This window comes from Homo sapiens, chromosome 17 (genome assembly GCF_000001405.40).
Source record: "Homo sapiens chromosome 17, GRCh38.p14 Primary Assembly".
In the NCBI taxonomy this organism is placed as follows: Eukaryota; Metazoa; Chordata; class Mammalia; order Primates; family Hominidae; genus Homo; species Homo sapiens.
The window spans coordinates 33,192,300-33,214,269 of NC_000017.11; the positions used below are offsets into that span (position 1 = coordinate 33,192,300).

General features: G+C 46.4%; 1 protein-coding gene across 2 annotated transcripts in view, besides 2 other annotated features; it reads right to left on the minus strand.

The window, feature by feature from the left end:
* ASIC2 (acid sensing ion channel subunit 2) overlaps positions 1-21,970 on the minus strand; it is a 1,143,682-nt gene that overhangs the window by 179,213 nt on the left and 942,499 nt on the right. The window lies entirely within an intron of this gene.
* Positions 456-967: an enhancer, noted in NCBI's record as "OCT4-NANOG hESC enhancer chr17:31519773-31520284 (GRCh37/hg19 assembly coordinates)". NCBI's record gives its function as "activates a minimal SCP1, AML or CMV promoter by ChIP-STARR-seq in naive and primed H9 embryonic stem cells {active_cell/tissue: H9 hESC(naive and primed)}" and the evidence as "EXISTENCE:reporter gene assay evidence [ECO:0000049][PMID:30033119]".
* Positions 968-1,478: an enhancer, noted in NCBI's record as "OCT4-NANOG hESC enhancer chr17:31520285-31520795 (GRCh37/hg19 assembly coordinates)". NCBI's record gives its function as "activates a minimal SCP1, AML or CMV promoter by ChIP-STARR-seq in naive and primed H9 embryonic stem cells {active_cell/tissue: H9 hESC(naive and primed)}" and the evidence as "EXISTENCE:reporter gene assay evidence [ECO:0000049][PMID:30033119]".

Genomic DNA, 21,970 nt, shown 5'->3' on the forward strand with positions numbered 1-21,970 from the left:
TTGAACCCAGGAGGCAGAGGTTGCAGTGGGCCAAGACCATGCCATTGCACTCCAGCCTGGGCAAGAAGAGCAAAACTCAGTCTCAAAAACAAAACAAAACAAAACAAAACAAAACAAAACAAAACAAAACAAAACAAAACAAAACAAAACAAAACACAACCAAAAAAACCAAGACAGAGTTTGCTCTGTTATCTGCTATTAATGGTGACATTTATGAAGGACTATTGACATCCCCTGCTGGACAGGCAGGGAGCAAGGAGGTGTGGCTGCTCTAAGATCCCTCACCTCCTAACGTCAGCCATTCACCAATTCAAATCTTGTGAAGAAGCAACCATGGTCAGGCAAAAGTTGACTTCTTTATTGTGTAGCAAACTCATATTCCATCCAGCCCCATGACATGGTCTGTGACTTGATTTTGAGAGGAGAAATCGGAAAGCTGCCTCTCTGATGCAATTTCTCATAAGTACCCAGATATTAGTTAATATTTTATAGGCTAAAAAGTAGTATCCAATTTTCTAATTAACATTTTCTTAAATAATAAAGCTGATATATTGTTTTAAAAATACACATTTTTTTCCGCCATGTGATTAAATATAGCTATTTTTGGATTGAATGGAAAAAATACCTCTGGCCATACATATTTTTACTTTTCCTGAATTGGCCATTATTCAAGAAGGATTGCTCACCACCTGTGGTCTGGAGGGCAGAAGCTTGCTAAGCAACTGAATTGTTCACCCTGGGTTTCGGGGAAATGTTTAACCTACTTGATAGAACTAACGGATTTGAAAGTCCTTTAATGGCACCATTTACATGTTAATGTTCTAATGACAAAGGTGTTTTATCTGTTCATTTGAAGCAGGGAAACCCTACTTAACTCAACTTAGAAGCCTTTGTTAACACATGATAAGTGTCAGGAAGTGATACAACTTTCCCCAGGATGAATCCAGAGATTAGGGACTTAGTTTGCAGTAGGTCCCTTTCTCCAAGGCCTCGCCACCCTCTCCCAGTTGACTGCCTGAGAGATTTGTGCCCACAGGTCTTGGGCTGAATAAAGAATGTGGAAAGGAGTCTGTGCTGCCATCAGGCTGCCTGGGTGGTCAGAGTCTATATATAGCGCTCTGCTCACATCCCTCCGGAGGCTTTACCATTTTCCTGTAAATGGCTCCAGGACTGGTGCTTTCATACTTAATGGCCAGCTTCTCTGTTGGAGGCCTGCCCTCTGTCTGCTGGAATCTGCACCCACCATGCAGAAGGCTGGAAGTACCTGGGAATTTACATCCCCCTGGGGAGCAGTCCTGAACCCATGACTGACAGGTACAGCATGTGGAAGTACTCCAGCTCCCTTGCCACTTATTGGGACAACTCTGAGATCTGATCTAGGCCTGGGGATCTTGTTATGATGCAGATTCTAATTCAGAGAGTCCGGGCTGGAGAGGAGGCTCTGCAATTCCGACAAGCTCCAGGGTGGTCGCTGATGTTACTGATCTAGGACCACACTTGGAGTCCCATGGGTCTACACTGTCTTGGGAACATCCCTGTGGGATTATGTAGTTTCTGCCGCTGGTAGCTTACTTGGTTGCCTTCCTTGGCTTGGCCATCTTGCAGGTCTCAATTTACTACTGGCCATCTCTGGGAATACTTTCTAGTATATTACTTTCACACGATTCCTTGTCTCAGGGTATTCTTCTGGGGAGCCTACCCTAAGACACCAGATCTGCAGCACCTTGGCAGGGGGAGGGCCGTATTCAAGATGCACTGTAACTGGGCACCAGCCTCCAGGGACCATCCATGCTCATCTGCCACTGCCTTCTCAAATCATTCTAGGTGCCAGTCCCATCTGATTATCCATGAACTTCCCAAGCCTCCTGACTTTTTGCTCATGCTTTTCCACGAATCTGAAATTATTGCTTTCACTTTTCTGCACGCTAAAAAGCTCCTTGTTTTTCAAGGCTTGTTTCCAATGCCATTCTGACCAAGAGGCCATTGCTGATCTCCACATTCAAAAGCAGCCCCTCCTCTCTTGTGTCTTCCTAGCATGTTGCTTATGTCTTGGTTTCCCTGTCCAAGTAATGGGTACACCAGTAGTTGCCCTTGTCACTCTCAGAGTTGTTGTGATGATCAAATGACAGGATAGATATGAAATTGCTCACTAAGCCGATATGATGATGATGATGATCATGGAGGAAAAATACAGCACCTGTGAACTTCCATATGTAGAGTTTTTCTAAAATAAGGAATTACTTCTTCTTTTTAAAGATCTATACATGAAATCTTGGATTTGCAGCACTGGAATGTAGGGAACAAATTGATTATGTACAACCTGAAGCCATTACATTTCCAGATTGGGATATCAATCTGTTATTCCCAGATTGGGAAATCAATCTGTTATTCCCAGATTGGGAATCTCTTGCTGTTGACTTACAGTACTGCAGCTCAACTCTATCACACCCTGCAAAACCAAGACCACTGGCAAAGAAGGTCAATGTCATTGTTCTGACGCTAAGACACGTGGTGAAACCCAACTTCTGGGATACTCAGAGGGACACTCAGGGCCATCAGTTTCCCTCACCAGCACAGTGAGCTGCAAAGCCTATCGCAATAGGCAGAGTGGGAAACTTTGGGGAAAGACAACAAGTTTAATGTTTGCCACTTCTTAGGGAATGGTGACAGCACCAAGGCAGAAATATCTGGAGCTCAGCAGGATGTGTGAAGACTGGACTGAGAGAGGTAGGAGGTAGAAAGACGGGTGTGGGAACAAGCTAAGTCGGGCTCCTGGCTTGACAAATTATTATTCAGCTGGCTTGCCTGAATTGTGACATATTATTTATTAAAATGGAAGGAAAATTTAAAAAGTGAGATGTCAGCCCCAACCCCAACCTCCCTGAGCACAGGCAGCTGGCACAAAGCAGCCAGCACAAAGCAGCCTCTGCACAGCCTAAAAACTCAACATGACAGCAGTGTGGGGAAGAGAAAGTCATCCCACCTATTTAGAATCATACAGACTCAGGGGAAAGCACTCCATATCTGCATGACCTTGAACAAGTCCTCTACCCGCTTTACACCTCAGAATTCTTATTATAAAACAGGGATAATCATATATTAGAGGGTCATTGTCAGGATTATGGGTGGAAAAGCATTTTGACAAAATTCGATTTTGTTATAACTATTATTGTGAATGAGGATCATGATAGTGATTGGGTTGAAATTGTACAAATTTTTATTTAATTTTATTTTTTGATCATGTATAGTAAATGGTTACTGGCCATCAACTTTTTTACATTAAGAAATAAACCCTGTCCTCAGGAAGTTAGCATGTTATCAGAGTAGACAGACTTATAATCCAATAATTAAAACATATTACTTTGGGTCAGAGGACACACACGATCATCTTCACTGTGCAGACAGGGAAACTGAGGATCAGAAGGCCAAATGGCTTGCCGAAGGTCATGCAGCTAGGAAGCAGGGTCATAGTTCTGGCCTGGTCTTCTGATCCTTCATTCTACCTCCAGAATGACTGCCCTCCCCTCCTCACCCTCCTGGGTCATAGAGTGGGCTGTGGCACTCCTGCTTACCTGTTGGGTGAGTCTGGATCATCAAGGAATTCCTCTAAGCCTCAGTTTCCTCCTTTTGCCATTAAACCACAATAACTTTTGCACCAACCTAATAAAAATGTGGCAATTACACATGCCCTGTCTTACCTCACAAAGGTAAGATTGTGCTGTGTGCCGGATACCCCGCCAGTCACTTTACATATATCAAAGGGATTAAGGAAGCAATGCTTACATGCCAGATACCTGGCACAGAGTGAGCCCTCAGTGAAAGGTCTGAGCAGGTTGAGTAGCTCATTTCATCGTTCCTAAAATTCCTTGTTAGCCCTATTTTGCAAGTGGAACTTGGAGAGGTTAAACAATTGAATGGAGGTCACATAGCTATTAAAAGATGGAACTGACATACAAATCCTGATTTTAAAACTGTGCCCTTTCCACCTTTTAAAAGTACACGAGACGATGATGATGACGATGATGATGATGATGATGATGATGATGATCACTTCTAGAAGAATGTCAAGGTAACCTACAGCAAAAGATGCTCCAGCCTCCTTCGGCCACCAAGAAGGATAAAAATACATGGGGTACCTGTGAGGCGTCCTTGCAGTTATCTGCTGGGAGCCTCCCAAAAGTCCAGACAGGAAGGTGTAGCCAGCTGAAGAGCATACATAGAATTACAATGGCCTGTCCTGGTGGAAGCAACTTGCCATTGTCCGAGGCATGAAGCTCCAAGTGCAGGGCCATGGAGCCTGGGTCACGGCAATGGCACCATTCACCTGCTTATGTCTGATTAGGAAACACTGTTGGTGGTGGCAGTGCCTCATGTCAGGAACAGCTCAAGTACTAGGCATTCCCCTCTGGGCTTGAGACAGAGAGGAACTGTGGAAGAGGCTAAAATTCAATTCTAGCAGGTGGGAAGTGGCTGGATATAAATATTTTAAGACAACAAATATGATTCAGAAAGCTAATTGGAACTCGCTGACACCACCAAGGGCTCCTGGCAGCATGACACACAGATGGGAGTAGGAATCTCCGCCTCGGCATTAGAATACATACTGTAAATACCATGGAGGAAGCTGTCTGTCCCCTCCAGGGACACACGTCTAAGTCCTCAATAGAAAGCTGGTACATGGGACAGGGAGAGGAAAGGTGGAGAAGATGGGCACTGAACAGCAGCCTGGCTTTTTGTCTTGGATTTGTCTAATTTCCTGAGAAAGTCACTTAACCTTTCTGAGCCTCAGTTTCCTCATCTATAAAATGGGTAGAGAGTGAAGGTGGTAGTGGGCAGGGATTAGACTCAATGATCTTTAAATTGCCTAGCTCTTTCCCTGCTCTGGCACTGTGAGATTCCAGGAATCTATAGCCACCTCTTGGATTTCATGTTTGGTTGTTGAGCAGCAAGATAGCTTAGGGGGTTTAGCACCTGGACTCTGGAGATGGACAGCCTGAGTTCAAACATCAGCTCTGCCACTTATTGCATGGTACTGGCAATATTACCCGTATACATAGGTAAGAGGGGCCCTGCTCTGGGCCCCACACTTTCCAGGGTGTTTCTCTGATCCTCTTCCATCTGTACCCTTCCTTACAGGAAGCAAGAGGACATGTCCACCAGGCACTCATATTCTCAAACTAGACCACACTCTGGGTCCCTGGAATTCTCTGCCTAAATGACTCCAAGCCAGCTGACAGGGCCCAGATGGGCCTCACCTTTGGGTCTATCCTCTCTAGGGTGGACCTTGGCATTGATGAATGCACCCTCTCCTCCCAAGGGGTTGCAGTTTGATGTGGAGTGTCCAGGGGTTGGATGTGTGGGCTGGGGTATCCATGTGCATGCACAAAAACTCCCTTACAGTTTAAGACACAGCTAAAATAGAAGGACAATTCGGGAGAGCTGTGGGTCAGGGACCCCTCTCCCTGGGTACTGGTTCTGGTCTGGGATTCCTAAGAGTTGCAGAATTCTGAATTCAAACCGGGCTTTGTAGTCATTATAAAGGTCTATTTTTCAAGCAGAATGATAGAATGTATTTAATTTAACTAGTTGTTGGCTGGATTCAAAACTTGCAAATATTTAGATATGTGTTACATGGGCTTCCACTGGCACTCTCGTCCTGGGCCTCACAGATGTTAGTGGGGAACCTGGCTCCTGGGAACATTATTTAACCTTGTAATACTGGGTTTCCTCCTTTGTAAACTGGAAATAATATTAAAACTAACATCATAGACTTGGTGTGGTGGCTCATGCCTGTAATCCCAGCACTTTGGGAGGCCAAGGCAGGTGGATTACTTGAGCTCAGGAGCTGGAGACCATCCTGGGCAAAATGGTGAAACCCCATCTCTACAAAAGATACTAAAAAAATTAGCTGGGCATAGGGGCATGCACCTGTAGTCCCAGCTACTAGGGGACTGAGGTGGGAGGATCCCTTGAACTCGGGAGGTCCAGACTGCAGGGAGCCATGTTTGCACCACTGCACTCCAGTCTGGGTGACAATGTGAGACCCTGTTTCAAAACAAAACAAAAAACAAACCTAACATCATAAAATTGTTGCATGGGTCAATCAGTTGACTCACATAAACTAGTCCTATGCTCAATTCAGTAGGGCATTAGCTGTTGTTATTTTTCTGTCACTCAGACCTGGGATGATACCCACAAATGCCCTGCAGACTTCTTGGTCTCCCACTATAATGGTTTCAACCTGTCCTGCCACCCTGCACATGGTGACTGATCCAGGTAGCCTGACTACAACACTGCCTGGCATACTGTTACCTTTTGAGGTCACCTTCAGCCTGTGTAGCACCCCCAGCCTCTGTTCTCTGCTGGGAGCTCTCCACCCTGGGGAAAAAAAGGACTCATTCCCTGTGTGGCTAAAGCCAGCAAATGAGACATGTGCAGTGAGCTGTTTAGAGCCAAAGGAAATAGGCAAATAAAGGTTTCTTCAAATGTCACCATCCCAGCTAGGGTAAGATGCATGGGAGCTAAAATACACAATCTTCTTCTTGGTAGCAAAAAAATAAGTTTGAATTCAGGGATCAGGCCTTGACCATGTCATTAACCGTCCTGCTTGGAGACCTGGCTCATGATAACAAGCTGGTGGGAAGAATTGCTCTTTTGATTTAACCTTGCTATCTGTCATTAAACAGCCTTCTGTAGTTTCTCTGATATGCTTATTTTATTTTTCTGGCATCACGCCAGTTAAAAGTAGGATAAATGATAAGTCTGTTAACGAATACCTCAGTTAATTTTATGGCAGAGATTGCAGAGCAGGGAGCAGGTGAGACCATTCCTGCACTGTGGGCTGATAACCATTTCGGGCATCAAACATTTATTAAGGACCAATAATAAAAGCCCTTGTGATGGTGTAATGGCTCATTCTAAATGCTTCCTGCTAATAAAATGAGCATTGATTTGAAAGGCAATATTTAAATTCCATCCACAGCATGTCAAGGAAAGGACAACTGTGTCTGACGCGTGAGAAGCACTTAGCCAACTTGTTTAATCATCAGATGCTCTGTAAATTGTGTGTGCTCTTGGCAGGTGGGAAAATGTTCCCTAGGAAATGCTTCATTAGGGGAGGTAACCACAGAGCAGGGTTCAAATCCTAGCTCCCTACATTTGGGCTGGGTGACTTTGGACTGGGTACACAAACTCTCTTAGCTTTTACTGGCTCCTGCATAAAACAGAGATATTCATAACTTTCATGTGCTGTGGCTTGGGGAGTTAAAGAAGTGATTACATAAAGTGATACAGCAGCATCAATACATTTTAAGCTCCTTTCCCCTTTCCCTTAAGCTTGAACATGGCCCTGCTCTGGGTAAACACATTTCTAGCTTCAGGTAAATTACTGTGCCATGAACAAAGTAACAGGCTCAGAAATCGATGGGCTCCTCTCTCTTGTAAAGACTACTTCCTATGTGTACCTTGATCGCCATTCCAACCTGGATACATGTCACATGTCCATGCTAATCTTCTGATTGTTAATATAGCGAACTTGATCATGACATTCACATGAGAACAGTCTTTCAGTGGTCCTGAGGACAAAATCCACACAAGCCAGCACTGCCTCTGAGACCTGTCTCCTGCCTCCTTGCGTTCCCTATCCCCTGGAGCCTCACCGTGCCCCCTTGCTGTTCCATGGGCACTTACCATTCCAGTCCCATGCTCTGTCCCAGCTTCCTGCCTTTGCACATGCTGTTCCCTCTTCCTGGAATATCTTCCACCACTTCTTCCTGAATAGCTCCTTTTACCCTTAGGGGAAGCTGAGGGGTCCTCTCTAGAAGGACTTCAGTGTTAGCTTTCTCTAACCCCCGAGCTTCTCTTCGCTAGCAATAACTGCATTACACTGAAATGGCTTTTTCTTCTTCTCTCTTGGACTGAAGGCGAGTCTCACATCTGTCTGTCAAGCAGCCATCACAGTGCCTGGCATCGAGTCAACATTTTATGAGTTTGTTGACTCAGCTCTCATTCCTTAGGAAGGCTCATCCAGTCTCAGAGATTTAAAAACAATCTGTATGCTGAGGACTCACGAATAAATCTGGCTCAGCCCACTCCCTTAACCTCTCTACACACAGACACCCAACTGCCCACTTACAAATCTCACTCGGATGTTCAAGCCTGTCCAAAACTGAGATCCTGATGATCCTTCCCAAACCGGCTCCTTCTCCAGTCCTTCTCTTCATTGCAGATGGAAGCTTCATCTTTCATTGTTCAGACCAAAAAATCTGATGTTGTCCCTGTTACTTCCCTTACATCCTATATCTGGTCTGGCTGTGATTCTGTTGGCTCTAGCCTCAAAACAGATTCAGAATATGGCCCCTTCTTATCACCCCCATTTTCACCTTGATTATTGCAGTAGCTGCATATGGGCTATCTCCCTGTTTGCTTCCACCCTTGCCCCCTGCAGTTTATTCCCAGCACAGCAGTCAGAGTGATCCTGTGAAATGACATCACTCCTCTGCTCACAATCCTCCAATGACTCTCCATCACCCTCAGAGTAATGCTAGATTCCTTACCACTGTGATAAGGGCCTACAGTCTGGCTCGTGCTACCTGCCAAGCTCACCTCCACTGTTCTTTGGGAACCCCAGGCAAGCCCCTGCTGCAGGGCCTTTGCATTGGCTGTTCCCTCTGCCTGGAATGCTCCTTCCCCAGAGTCACATGGCTAGCTTCCTTCCTCCAGGTCTTTCCCAGATGCCACCTTCTCGGAGAGACCTCCTCTGGCCACCTTACCTAAAATTTCACCTCCCAACACATATTCCCTTCTCCTGATTTATTTTTCTTCTTAGCACTTGTTCATCATACTGTATGTTTTACTTATGTATCTTGTTTATTTTCTATCTCCTCCAAGCAGTGAGGACATGGATTTTGATCTGTGTGTTAAGTTCTGTGTCCTCTGTTCCTACAGCAGTGCTCGATCCACAGTAGGTGGTCCATTAAACACTAGTTTGTTGGCTCAATGAATGAACGAATGTCTTCTTCAGGGGAGAAGCCAACTCCGGCAGCCCTCCAGTAGCCTGGGACTGAGGGGGAGGTGGGACTCAACTCTGGAGGCAGGGACTTGACTCTAGACCAGATTGAAGACTAGCTGAAACAGCAAAGAGGCAAAAGCACCTCTCCATGAGACGTGCCCACCAATGCCATGTCAGTTTACTGTTGCCATGGCAACATCTAAACGTTACCACCCCCTTTCATGGCAATGACCTAGAAGTTACCACCCCTTTTCTAGACATTTCTGAATAACTCACCCTTTAATTTGCATGTAATTAAAATGAGTATAAACATGACTGCAGCCCTGCCTCTGAGCTTCTACTCTGGGCACACTGCCTATAGAGTAGCCCTGCTCGGTAAGGAGCAGTATATCTGCTGCTGCTGCTCTATGTGGCCACTTCAATAAAAGCTGCTGTCTAGGCTGGGCATGGTGGCTCACACCTGTAATTCCAGCACTTTGGGAAACTGAGGCAGGCAGATCACTTGAGCCCAGAAGTTCGAGACCAGCCTGGGGAACATGGTGAAACCTTGTCTTTGAAAAATTATAAAAACAATTAGCTGGGCATGGTGATGCATGCCCATGGTCCCACCTACTCAGGAGTCTGAGCTGGGAGGATTGCTGGAGCCCAGGAGGTGGGGATTGCAGTGGACCAAGATCATGCCACTTGGTGACACGGTGAGACTGTCTCAAAAAAAAAAAAAAAAAAAGAAAAAGAAAAGAAAAAAGAAAAAAAAAGGTGCCGTCTAACACTACTGGCTTGCCCTTGATTCCTTGAATTATTTCCTGGGTAAAGCCAAGAACCCATCCTGGGCTAAGCCCCAATTTTGAGGCTCACCTGGCCTGCCTGCATCAGAACCAGCAGGTGGCACAAACACCAACGATGCGGATGGGCTCCACAGCGAGCAGCGAGTAGTCTTTGGCCACATGAGCAATAATGGAGCTAACTCCCCACAGGGACAGCTGCGGGTTCATTATGCGTGATGAGTTTGGGAGGGAGAAAATGGGCTGTTTGGAGTCACTGGGCTGCTAGAAGAAGGAATGGTTTTCTCTCTAGGGAAGATTTTGAATAGGATTTCAGAGCAGGAAGATATTAAGTGTGAGATGGGAAGCAGTGTGTGTAGGGCTCAGAGACCTCATCCCCCTAGAGATTGTCCGCCCCATCTGGGTGCACAGTGTGGCCAGCAGGTCAGCACCTCCCGTGGGGGTCCATCAAGGGGTGCAGCAGGGCTCTTGCTGGACTTGGCAGCTGGACTAGGACTTTGCACAAAATGTAAAGCAAAGTATGCACCCAGAAGCCCATTCTTCCATTAACTTATAGATATATTTAAAAACTAGATAAGAGTTGCTATGGAGAGCGAACGTGACTTTAAGACATAATTGCAGTTCATTGTTATTTTCCTAAATAATGCGGGTGTCTACATGGCTCCTTCCTGCTTTATTTAGCTTCATCTTTCCAGCTGGAGCTTGCTCCTGGATGGGTGGGGGTGACCTTCATTGGCCTCTCTCTACCCTGGGGGATGGTCATGTCCTTCAGGAGTGGGTGGTGGATAGGCTCTGTCTTTGTTTTTCTCCGGGGACCACCCTGCTCCATGGACACATAGGATAGAGCTGGGCACTCACTCCTCTGCGTCCTGCTCACACAGCACTTCAAACGCCAGAGAGAAAAAAAGCAACAGGATAGCCCTTTGATTCAGCGAGAAAGGTGGCACGTGGTGTCTGCTCCAGTGAGCCCAGAAAATTTGCACGTGCTAAACCAGAGACACATTGGCCCCTTTTGGCTAAACACCTAGGAGCCCATGGCCCCTTTCATCCTTACCCATAGCTCCACTAGTGCCTGTATTATGTTGTGTTAGAATCCATGTCTGTCTCAGAAGCAGCCCGAAGGCAGGGATCACATCCAGTGGATTTTTATAGCCCCAAAGCTTAGTCCTGCCTCTGGCGCATAATAATGCATCTCTGTGTAAAACCATGTGCTTTTTCAAAGCTTATTTTTTTAGGCATTCTGGGTAGCAATTCCTCTGATCCACCCAGTCTGGGGTTCCACCCTGAGTCCAGCCCACACAGTTGGAGGACTGACTGGAGCCCTCATAAGAAGAAACTGGACCTCTGTAGAATGATGCGAAGAAATGTTTTCCTTCTCTCCCCACGTGCCCACTCCCATTAATAAAGAAGGGAACTTCCTCCAGCACTTCTGTCCTCTTGAAGCGCTGAGGCTGGAGTATCTACTCCTCTGCCCGCCTTTTTATTCCACTCAACTGAGGCGAGATGCTAATATGATGGGGGAATGACCATCAGTGGCCTCTTTATTCTCGGGGTTGGCAATGTTATTAAGGAGTGGGTGATGGACTCTACCTTTATTATTTTTCTGGGACCTGCCCTGCACATAGTACAGGCTCACTCCTCAGGTCCCTGCTCATATAGGGTGAGCACACTGGAGTGGGATCCTGGCTGCGGGTGGCTTGCCACTCTCTCTCTGAGTATGTGGGGCAGGCCAGTGTCTAGCTGAGTAGGGTTTTCACAATGTGACTGCCCCAAGCAAAGTCCAAGTTCTAAGTTAGGGGAGAAGGTTATTAGATACCTATTTCGTCCTTAGGTAAGTCATGTTCCCTAATCTGGCTCAGGCCAAAGCCCTGCATTTTGGGAGGTATTAAACATATACCTGGCCTGGAATCAAGCTGCTATTTGGTTGGCATCTAGCTCGTGATCCTTGTGTCTATTTTCTAATGGTGAGACCTGGAGGAGTGGTGGAGTGAGGCTTAGATTCCTCTTACCTCTGAGAGTTGGGCTTTCAGAGAGACCTGCACTCAGTCATGTTTTCCCTCACCAATGTGGGGTCTTTCTCTTAAGTCTGGTTATTGTCTGGTCTTTTGTCTCATGAATATCAAAATCCCCTAGAAAAATGTAGCCTGTCATTTTCCCAGGCAGGCCCTACTTGTCTCTCCCCTTGTCCAGCTCTGGTCACTACGTTCTTGTTACCTGCAGGCTCAGCCCATGTCCAGCTGCTAAGTCAGTGAGAAGCCAGCCTGGCAGAGTATGAGGAGCCCTTCATGCCATCTGGGCAGGATGAGAAGATCAGCTGCTGCCACCCCCGGGAGTCAGGCAGGGAGACAGCCTGTTGTGGATATTTGTTGTGTCTACTGCCTGATATCCATTTCACCCTGCTGGTAACTAGTCCCCAGTTTTCCTCTTGAGGGCTCGCCTGTCCCACCTCCACCCATCTCATGTGCTTCAGATAAAGTTGACTCTACCCAGACTCCAAAAGTGGCAACCATGAGTAAGCCACACTGACCAGTGCATTTCATCCTCCAGCCAAGTTGGGTCAGACATGAGCATGTGACCCAAGTGAGGCCAATTACAGCCAGTGAAACTCAATTCTAGCACATGTGTGTGTGCATGTGTGCATATGCGTGTGAACATGTACATGTCCACTATTAGAGAAGTGGGCTTTCATTTCCACTGGATGTGAAGCTGAAAGGATGCAGAATAGGGAATTTTTAGCAGCCATCATGAAGAGACAGAAGGGCCATGAATGAAGCCAACACTGAGGAAGCAGAGCCAGATGGAGAGACAAACCTTATCCAGGTGACAGCATTTGATCCCTGGGTTGAGCCATGCCTGAAGTCAGAAGAGTCTACTTGAATGGACTATTCAGTTACATGACCTGATAAGGTCTCTTGTTTACTTAAGAAAGTTTGACTGGCATTTTCTCACTTGCAACCAAAAGTGCCCTCACCGATACAGAGCCTTTTGTTGCCACCTGATCACCATGCAGTAGCCTCTCTAAACCTTGCTCTGTGGAGTCTGCAGTTTCCTCTCTCTGTTTTCAGTTAGCCAGAGCCCCTGCTGGAAAGAGAGCCTGGCCCCACAGGCCAGATGCTTGGCTGGGCTCTCTTGTCAGTCCTCAAAGCCACCCTGTGTGCCCCTTGCATCACCTGATTCTGAGAACAGCACAGCCAATAAGCCCCTGCCTTGTGCCTCTGGAAATGCTGCCAGCCTGGATCAGTAATTCCAAAAATATGTTCTGGGGAACACTGGTCCTTTTGGATGCTCTTTGGGAGGACAAAAAGGTTTTCAGTTTTAGAAATTGACAAAGCCCTGTACATATATATGTATCCTTCTTGGAGATCCACCAGCAAATTTACTTATCAAAGGTTCTAATAAGCACTGCTATAAAACACAGTGTTCAACATATCATAATTTAGCATTTGAAAACAGATTTCACTATGGAACAAACACTTTTTTGGTTGTAGGTATAATACCTATAACAACCTGAACATACTTGGGGAAACGCTTGACTAGAATTTGCAGGAGTTCCTTGAACCTGGCAATTTGTACAACTGGCCTCTTGCTGGAGGCAGCCGGCCATTCAGTTCTGGTTGGGTCCTGACACCTTTATCTTGGCTTGGTGATATGACATCATTTCTTCCCTCCAGAGCTCCCGGCATGCCGCAGGGCTGGGACTGCGCTGGCTGTGCCGTTTCTTGGCATACGGTTCCCATGCTGGTGGTAGCAGGAGATAATTTGATTGGGCTGACAACATTCATTCTTCTCTGGGCCACAAAGACCCCCTAATTCCCCATTCTGAGACCACGGTTTGGATCTGGCAACAAGAATGCACATAGTTACATGTAAACAGAAAGCTCAACACTAAATTATGATTGATGTTTCAAATAAAATGCTCTCAGGGTCAGGATGGGAGATGAGTTTCCAGGAAGTAGCACCTGTAATGAAACTCACCAGAGTCATAAAAATGCAGGATGGCCACAGGAGGCCACCTGGAGACTCAAACCTAGATGACAGGAGAAGAGCTAAATTTTAATATTTGTTTGCTCTCAAAACAGCAGCATCATACTTCCCACGAAACAGAAATGCTTGCTTGGTATCATATTGCCTCATAAATCCTCGGGACCCATTTGGTGATGAGGTCGAAGGAGCCAGCTGGCCCAGGTGTGATTACTTCTGGGATTGGAGGGAGGGAGGGAGAGGGAAGGCCACCACTTGTTGGCTGCTCTGCATTCATGATCCTTTTCAGTCTTCCTAAAATCCAGTGAGGTAAGCAGTGTTTCTGTTTGGCTGGGGAGGAAACCAAGATCCAGAAGGGTGAAGCCTTTGGACTAATGGAGGCACTGGGATTTGAACCAAGGTCAACCCAAGGTCAAGCCAAGCCCAAAGCCATGCCCAAGAAGGGATTTCTTACTGATGAATTATGAGTATAGGCCTCTCAGATGTGGTTGGTGGTGTCCCGTGACTCTGCTTGGATGGGGCTGTCTTCCGCTTTCTATCCCCAGACAAGCACTCAGCTGTGTGTCCAAACCAAGGCAGAGTATCCTTCCATGGCCCTGGTCTCTGATTGGGGAAGGGAGGCTCTGAGGGGATACAAATAAAGTGGCTACAGGGTGAAGTTCCAGGGTTACCCAGACACCTCTAGATTGGAGAAGCTGTTTTTAAACTGATCCTGGATGAGTTACTGGAGATCAGAATTGCCAGAAGATCAGCAGGCTGGTTTGCCCCTAGGAAACATCAATATTTTTGTTCGATTTTTGAGTGTCCCCACAATGGTCATTCCAAGGTGGTAGTGGAGAGCTCACGGGATGGGGAGCCATAGGATCCTCCTTCTGGCTCTGTCCCTTTCTAGCAGCATCACTCCCCTGCCCTTTTTCTGAGGCTTTGTTTCCTCATCTGTCAATTGTGTTTAATAATTCCCGCCCTGACCATTTCACAATGACAATGGATGTGGGTTTTGATTAAATGCAACCAGGATTTACTGAGCATTAACTATATGCCAGGCACCCTACTCAGTCTGAGGAGAAGGGCTTATAAAGGAGAATCCCACAATATCCCCGTCCTTAAGCGATTCATTTAGTGCGAAGAGGACGGACGGAAGTGGTGAACGGCGCTTTATCCTAGCGCTTTCTCATTCTTTGTTTCATTTAAAGCATTGATGGCTGTCTGAAGTAAGCAGAACAAATATTCTTATTCTCATTTGACAGATAGAAGAAGCTAAGGCTGTGGCAAGTAAAGTCACTTGCTGAATGATGATAATAACATCTAAAGTCTATACCCACAATTCATTTGCACAGGGTTTTCATATGTGTCATGTCATCAAATCTTCAAAACATCCCTGCGTGGTAGGCCTTATTACTATTAGACCTGTATTGTAGACAAGAAAAGAAACAGGGACAGACTGTCGGTTCCTGGAGAGAACAAACCAGACCATCTTCATCTATGTATTCTTAGCACCAAGAATGGCATGAAGCAATAAAAGCGGCTTGTAGCAGATGCTTTCAGTGTCCTGCCCATACCGCCTTGGACTTAACCATTTTAGTGCACACTGGCCCCGTTTCCAACCATCGGCACCTGCATTTCTTTATCCAAGGGCTCTCTCTGACAGCCAAGAGCCAAGAGCACTTGTTGGCCAGAAGTGCTAGAAAGTAGGTGCCTCTCAGGAGTTGCTCTCCACCAAAGACTCCATCACCCTTCAGGTGGGAGAACTCCAAGTGCATGCTCCACCCTGGCTCCTGGAGATCCCAGTGGGATTAAGTCCCAATGGCCCATGGTGCCAACTTGATTAATAATGTACCTGGTTTTGGTTGTTTTTCTTACCTGTCTTATTTCCCTGTTTCCCTATCTGTGTTTCTTGGGATCATCTCCCAAATAAACTACTTGTCCTTTTTTCAGAGTCTGCTTCTAGAGGAGCCAGACTAAGACTGGTTTCAGTGATGGCTTATGGGGTGAGTGGATGAGTGAATGGAGAAGTGAGAGGCTGTGTCCTATCCCCTGACCCCCTGACTGGGGGAGGTAAAGGGAAGGGTGTTGGTTATAACCTTGATGTGTTTGTTTCATGGGGACTGAGGTGGGTTTGGGAAGGTGCATCTTACCTGCTGGTGTTGGTGTGAAGATGCAGAGGAAAAATACTACAAATCTGTTACTGAAGGTTAAAGTCAAGAACATGATTCCAGGTGGGGTAATCAATCTACAATGCTTAAATCCCCTCCCCTGGCCATCTAGTTCTTTTAGAACAGAATGCAAGCTCCTTACTCAGGGCTTGCCACCCTCCCCAACCCATCCCAGACTCGGTGCCGCAGTCCTACATCTTCTGCTCCCTGAACACCTGGAGCACTTCCCTCCCTTGGGACACCTTCATTCTTGCTGGCACTTTGCCTGGAATGCTCTTTCCCTCAGAGCTTTGCTTGGCTTACTTTTTCTTTTTCCTTTAGGTTTCAGCTTCAAAGTGACCTCCTTAGAGGTTGGTTTGCTGACCAACAAAGTCAGTCACTCCCTATCTAATCACCTTATTCTATTTTTATCATAAAATTTGTATTTGCAGAATATTTGCTTATTATTATTATTATATTTATTATTATTATTAACTTGTTCTCTATGTAAAATGCAGGATCTATGAAAGACATGATCAGTCTTGTTGACTGATGTAGTCTCAGCCCTCAGAACAGGGCCTGGCACATAGCAGATGCTCAGTAAATATCTGTTGAATGGAAAAAATGAAGGATAAGCTAAGGAGATGACAGTGATGGGCAGAGGTGTGGAGGAGTTCCAATTGTCCATGGTGCCGACTTGATTCATAGTGTACTTGTTTTTGGTTGCCTTCCTTTCCTGTCTCATTTCCCGGCCTTCTCTATATATGTTTCCAGGGCCAGTGCATTTGGCTGCCTTCTAATGCTCTGGTGTGTATTTATTTGGATCAGCTGCTTGTCTTTATGAGTTGGTGGCAGGTTATGTGAATGGCCCAAGATCACTCTTAGAGGTAGAAGAGCCAGAACTCAAGCCTCGAAGCCCAGGAAGCCCATGCTGTTAACTACCATCCTACATGACATCCGTTAGGGTTTACTCACTAACCCTGAGCTAAGACTTTCTGACTCTTTCTCCCAGTCTTCTGCCATGTCACAGAGATAGAGGCTATTATTCTGGTTGCTGGGATATTTAAAACTTTATTTATAAGTTGTTCCAGTTTTGTTTTTTGTCAACTTATGAGCAAGTCTATAGGTCAGCCATACAAATAATTTGTCCTTGTGGGGGAAAAAAAAACCCATGTTGCATAAAAAGGAATGTCCCACCTTAAAGCCTCTAGACCATGGTTTTTCAGTCTCAGCACTATTGACATTTATAGCCAGATAACTCTTTGTGACAGGGGACAGTCCTGTGCATTTTAGGATATTTAGCAGCATCCTTGACCTCTATCCACCAGATGCCAGTAGCTTCCCCTACTTATGACAAGCAAAAATGTCTCCAGGCACTGCCAATTGTCCCGTGGGGGCCAAAACTGCCACCGCTTAAGAACCACTGCCTTGAGCTATAGGAAGGCAGGTGCCATGTTTGTTTTGCTTATGATCATATCCTTAGTGCCTGACCCAAGTTAAGTGCCCCATAAATATTGGTTGGGCAACAGCATGAATACATGAGTGAATAGTGAATGAATAAATGAATGCATGAACATAGCCAGTGTCCTTAGACTGAGTTTCCTGAATCCCCTGACCTCACCAGCTGCTCACTTCCTCTGTTTTCCAACATCACGTCATCTGCTGACCTAACTGACCAGTCACAGCTCTGGTGTAATTATTCACCTGGCTTCCCATAAACTATGTCCAAATAGGGAACAACTCCTGACTTGGTCTGTTTTGGTCTTGAGCACAGAATCCAGAAACCTCTAACTTTAACCCCGAAGTGGAAGAGGGAAAAGAGACAGAGTGCAGGAGTGTAAGCAGCAAATGCCCCCACCCACTGGGGGTCATTTACAGTCTCTGGGATCCAATTAACAAAGAAAGTTTCTGAGTGGCCACTTTCCCCACGTCGCCCATGTTTCTCCACCTCACAGACACCAGTGGAGCCAGTACCCATTAGGCAACATTACTCTGCATAATGAAACAACTGTACTCAAATCCAGAATAAGAAAATGGGAAGCTTCTATGAAGACTTTAAGCTGCTCAAGTTCACTCAGCTTCAGCTAATGAAAATATGAGCCGCCTCTGAGCTGAGCCTACTTCCTCATGTGGTCCAGTAAATATCTTAATATCTCCAGATTCCTTCCTGCCTTCTAAATTGTGTGCATCACATCTGACATTTGCAAGTTATCTATGATGTCTGCAAGATTAAACCAGCATGAAAACTCTCCATCTGCACTCTCATCCCCTCCACCCCCCAACCCAGGCTGCCAGGCTGAGCTAGAATGCCTGAGACTGTGAAAGCTCAGCCCATATGGGTGAGACTGGAGGCCAGCTGCAGACCTTTGAGGGTGCAATTCCCCACCATCTCTATTTGCATCGCACATGCTGAGGGATTTAATTTCAAGTCCTGGCTGAGTGAGCACCTTCTACTTAGCAGGGAATATGGGGGCAGACAACGAGGAGGGAGGCTTGGCCCTGCCCTCCAAAGGAAAGCCTCACCCTTCATAACAAAGGGCACACCCATCGTGTGCAGGACCCTGCCTAGATGCTCCCTATATACCCTCCCAGGAATTCCTCAAAAGAAAACAGGCGTGGGCGGGTACCCTTGTTTCCCACTTGAGAAACTAGTGGGCTTTGAGTCAGTCATGAAGCTACTACTTAGAGGGATTTGACTCAGGCTAGACTCTTCCCAGAGCCAGTATGTGGCTTTCAGTCTTTGACCAGGAAGACAGACATTTGATGACTTAGCTGTCTATAGCAAGGCAGGATGAAAGAAATGCCAAATAAAGGTATAAGCAATGCCCTGTCAGGTACAGAGAAAGAGGGGATTAATTCATGTGGTGGACTTAATGAGTCCAGGCTTGAAGAACAAAGAGGATTTTCAGTAGTGGAAAATGGGGACAGTTCCAGGGGTGACGGATAGCATGTGTGACAGCGCAGAAGTGTGTGGCCCTTCCACGGACCAAGGGGTTTGTGGAGAGAGTAGTTAGTAGAGGGATGAGGCTGAAGGTGATGCAGCTGTGTATTGGACCCAGCTTGCATAAGCTCAGGTGAGCTGTGCTCACCTTTCCCAAATTGGTGTTTGGTGATATCATGTTGATGGCTTCAAGTCAGCCATGGAGGGGGCATTTACATCACGGAAATGGGCACTCAGGACTCCTCCCCTCCCTGAAAGCTGGTCGTTAAACATTAACCAGCGCACGCTAGGTATTGGGGGACATCACCACCAAGGTGACCCCAGGGATCTGAGGAAAGTAAAAATGCCTTATCTGAATAAAGATAGGATAAAGTAAACATCTCTTTAAATGAAAAAAAAAAAAAAAAATCAAAGTGAAGATCTGACCTGCTGGGGATTCTCAGCAGGGAAACAGGCAGAGCAGGCAGCCCCGTTCATCTATTCCCAATATTGCATTATCTCAGACTCACTTATTCAGAATTCTCTCACCACAGATCAGCAGTTTGCCTCCTCCATTACCAGCTAATCCAGATGGACCTGGTGCTAACTTAATTTCCAGGATAATGGAGTCCTGATCTGTTTGCACAATTGGCTCTTGCATCCCGAAAGTATTTGCTGAATCCTTAAAATCAATGAGGCTGTGCTAGACCACCATACCCTCCTTCCCAGTGAAGACGGGTTCCAGGATCCCCCTAGTGCCTGGCTGCCTACATTAAACACCTACAGTACACCAGCTCCATGCTGGGTGCCTGGTGTGGATCCTATCGATCCTCACTATGGCCCAGGAAGGGTGACTTCCATTTTACAGAAGAGGAAACAGGAGTCTCAGGAAGGGCAGAACTTTGCCCAAAGTTACACAGGTAGCAAGCGCCAGAGCTAGGATGGGACTCCCTGTCTGTCTCTAAGGCTCCCAATCTTTGAATTACATTTTGTTACTATGAGTGGTAGGCTGGATAACTGTCTGCACAGATATCCACGTCCTAATCCCTGAAATCGTGAATATTACCTTATAAGGCAAAAGGAACCTGGGAAATGTGATTAAGGTAAGCTCCTTGAGATAAGAAGATTATCCTGGATTATCTGGGTGATCTCAATGTAGTCCTGAGGGTCCTTGTAAGAGGGAGGCAGAAGGACATGTGACCACAGAAGAGGAGATGGCACCTACGATGGAAGCAAAGATTGGAGTGATGTGGCTACAATCCAAGGAATGTGGCGGCCCCTAGAAGCCGGAAGAGGAAGGAATGAATTCTTCCAGGGAGCCTTCAGAAGGGGCCAGCCCTGCTCACACCTTGATTTGAGCCCTGCAAGACTCCTTTCAGACTTCTGACCTCCAGAACTGTAAGAGAATAAGTTTCTGTTGTTTTAAGCCACTAAACTCGTGACAGCAGCAATAGGAAACACACACTTTCCAAAGCAAGAGGAAGAGAAATGAATCAAGACATCAATATGAGAAAGGAATGGGGTATGAGAAGCATGTGTCAAGGGCAAGAAAGGAATGGGCTGGCCTGCAGGTGTCCTTGGCTCTCTCTAAGCACAGGAGGTCTGAGCAGGGGCCTCTGCTCCCTCCCCTTTCCCTTATCCTACTCCTCCTAGCCACATTGACTTCAATTTGAACCAATGCATTCTATAATTAGGACAAGCATTCCTTTGCCCCCTGATGGAAGAAAAGGAGGTAACTGAGTGATAGAGGCCAGCACAGGCTCAAGCACTGGAGTTCTGTCTCAGCTCTGCCAGCCACTTTCTCTGTGATCTTGGATAAAACACTTTATTTCTCTGCAAGTGTCGTGACTTCTCAGATCCCGCCCCCAGATTTTTATATCTATGTGCTAAGCAAACTAATCGTATAAACACAGTTTGGGTAGAATATTGAGCCCATTAAAAGAGCATCCAAAACACACTCTGTGCAGATTATTTTCATTCAGCTTTTATGAAAGCAGGTCTTGAGGCTCCTTGTGTTGGCCTCTCAAAGCTGCAGGCTGGATAACAATCCCACAGGGGGAAGCTCCAATGCACATTAATATGGGAAGATTTCTCTGGCTGCCAGGGCCAGGAGGTGGGCATAGACTGGTCCTAAGAACTGAAGGTGGAAAAAAAACCTTGCTTGGAAAGACCAGAAACAAGCCCTGGTGGTTCGTAGATCTGAAGGCTCTGAAGATGAGCTTGCAGGAACAAGAGGGGCTGGCAATTTCAGGGAAGAGAAGGAAATGATGATGGGTTCAGCAGTGGGTGTGTTAGTGGCCAGAACTCTCAGAGTTTTCATGGGCCTGTTCTTTTAGCCATTGGAAGCTGGGCCTTGCAACAATGATGAGACAAGGCCTGGGAGTGAAGCTCAGTGGCTGTAGCATGGCTTAACTGAAAGACCATGACCTAGGTTCCTGATAGCTTAGTCCCTAGTTCAGGTCCTGTTACCATCGTCCTGCGGTCTCTAAGTGTCTTAAATGTTTCAACTTTAGCTTTCTGATCTGCCAACTGGGTGAGTGATAATAGCTCTGTGGAGCTGGTGAGCTCCCCTTCTTTCCCCCTTTCCCCTTCTTTCCACCCAGGCTGGATGTTCCAGCTGCCAATCTCACCGATTCTTAGTTTGTGTCTCTGGAAAATGGGGTTGCTCATCAGAAGGTTGACGCAAGGTTTAATGAGACAGGATAGGTAGGTGGTCCAAGCCCTGGAATACTGATTCTCTCCCTGGCCCCTCTGGGCATTCTCACAAGTTGAGAGAATAACAAGATATGATCAATAACCCAGAGATATGACACCCAGAGGTGAGTGTGCTGCTGTTATTCTTTCTGAGGGGGGCTGAGCCTATGTGGCAGGCGATCCTTGATGGTATAATGTGCACACTTCCCTGAGCCCACCTGGTTGTTCTGCCAAGTGTGGGGTTAAGTTCTTGTCCATCTCTCGTGCCCAGGGTAGCATGGCATGCACAATGACTGGGACCTAAATGGCAAAAAGCCTGCTATCCAAGCTCAGAAACATCCCTGGCTCCCATCTGAGGCCTCTGCCAGCAGCTCTGGGAACCCAGCAATAAATTAGAATGTCAGCATGATATGGGGTCAGGTGCTACATCCCACCAAGACTACACCCTCTT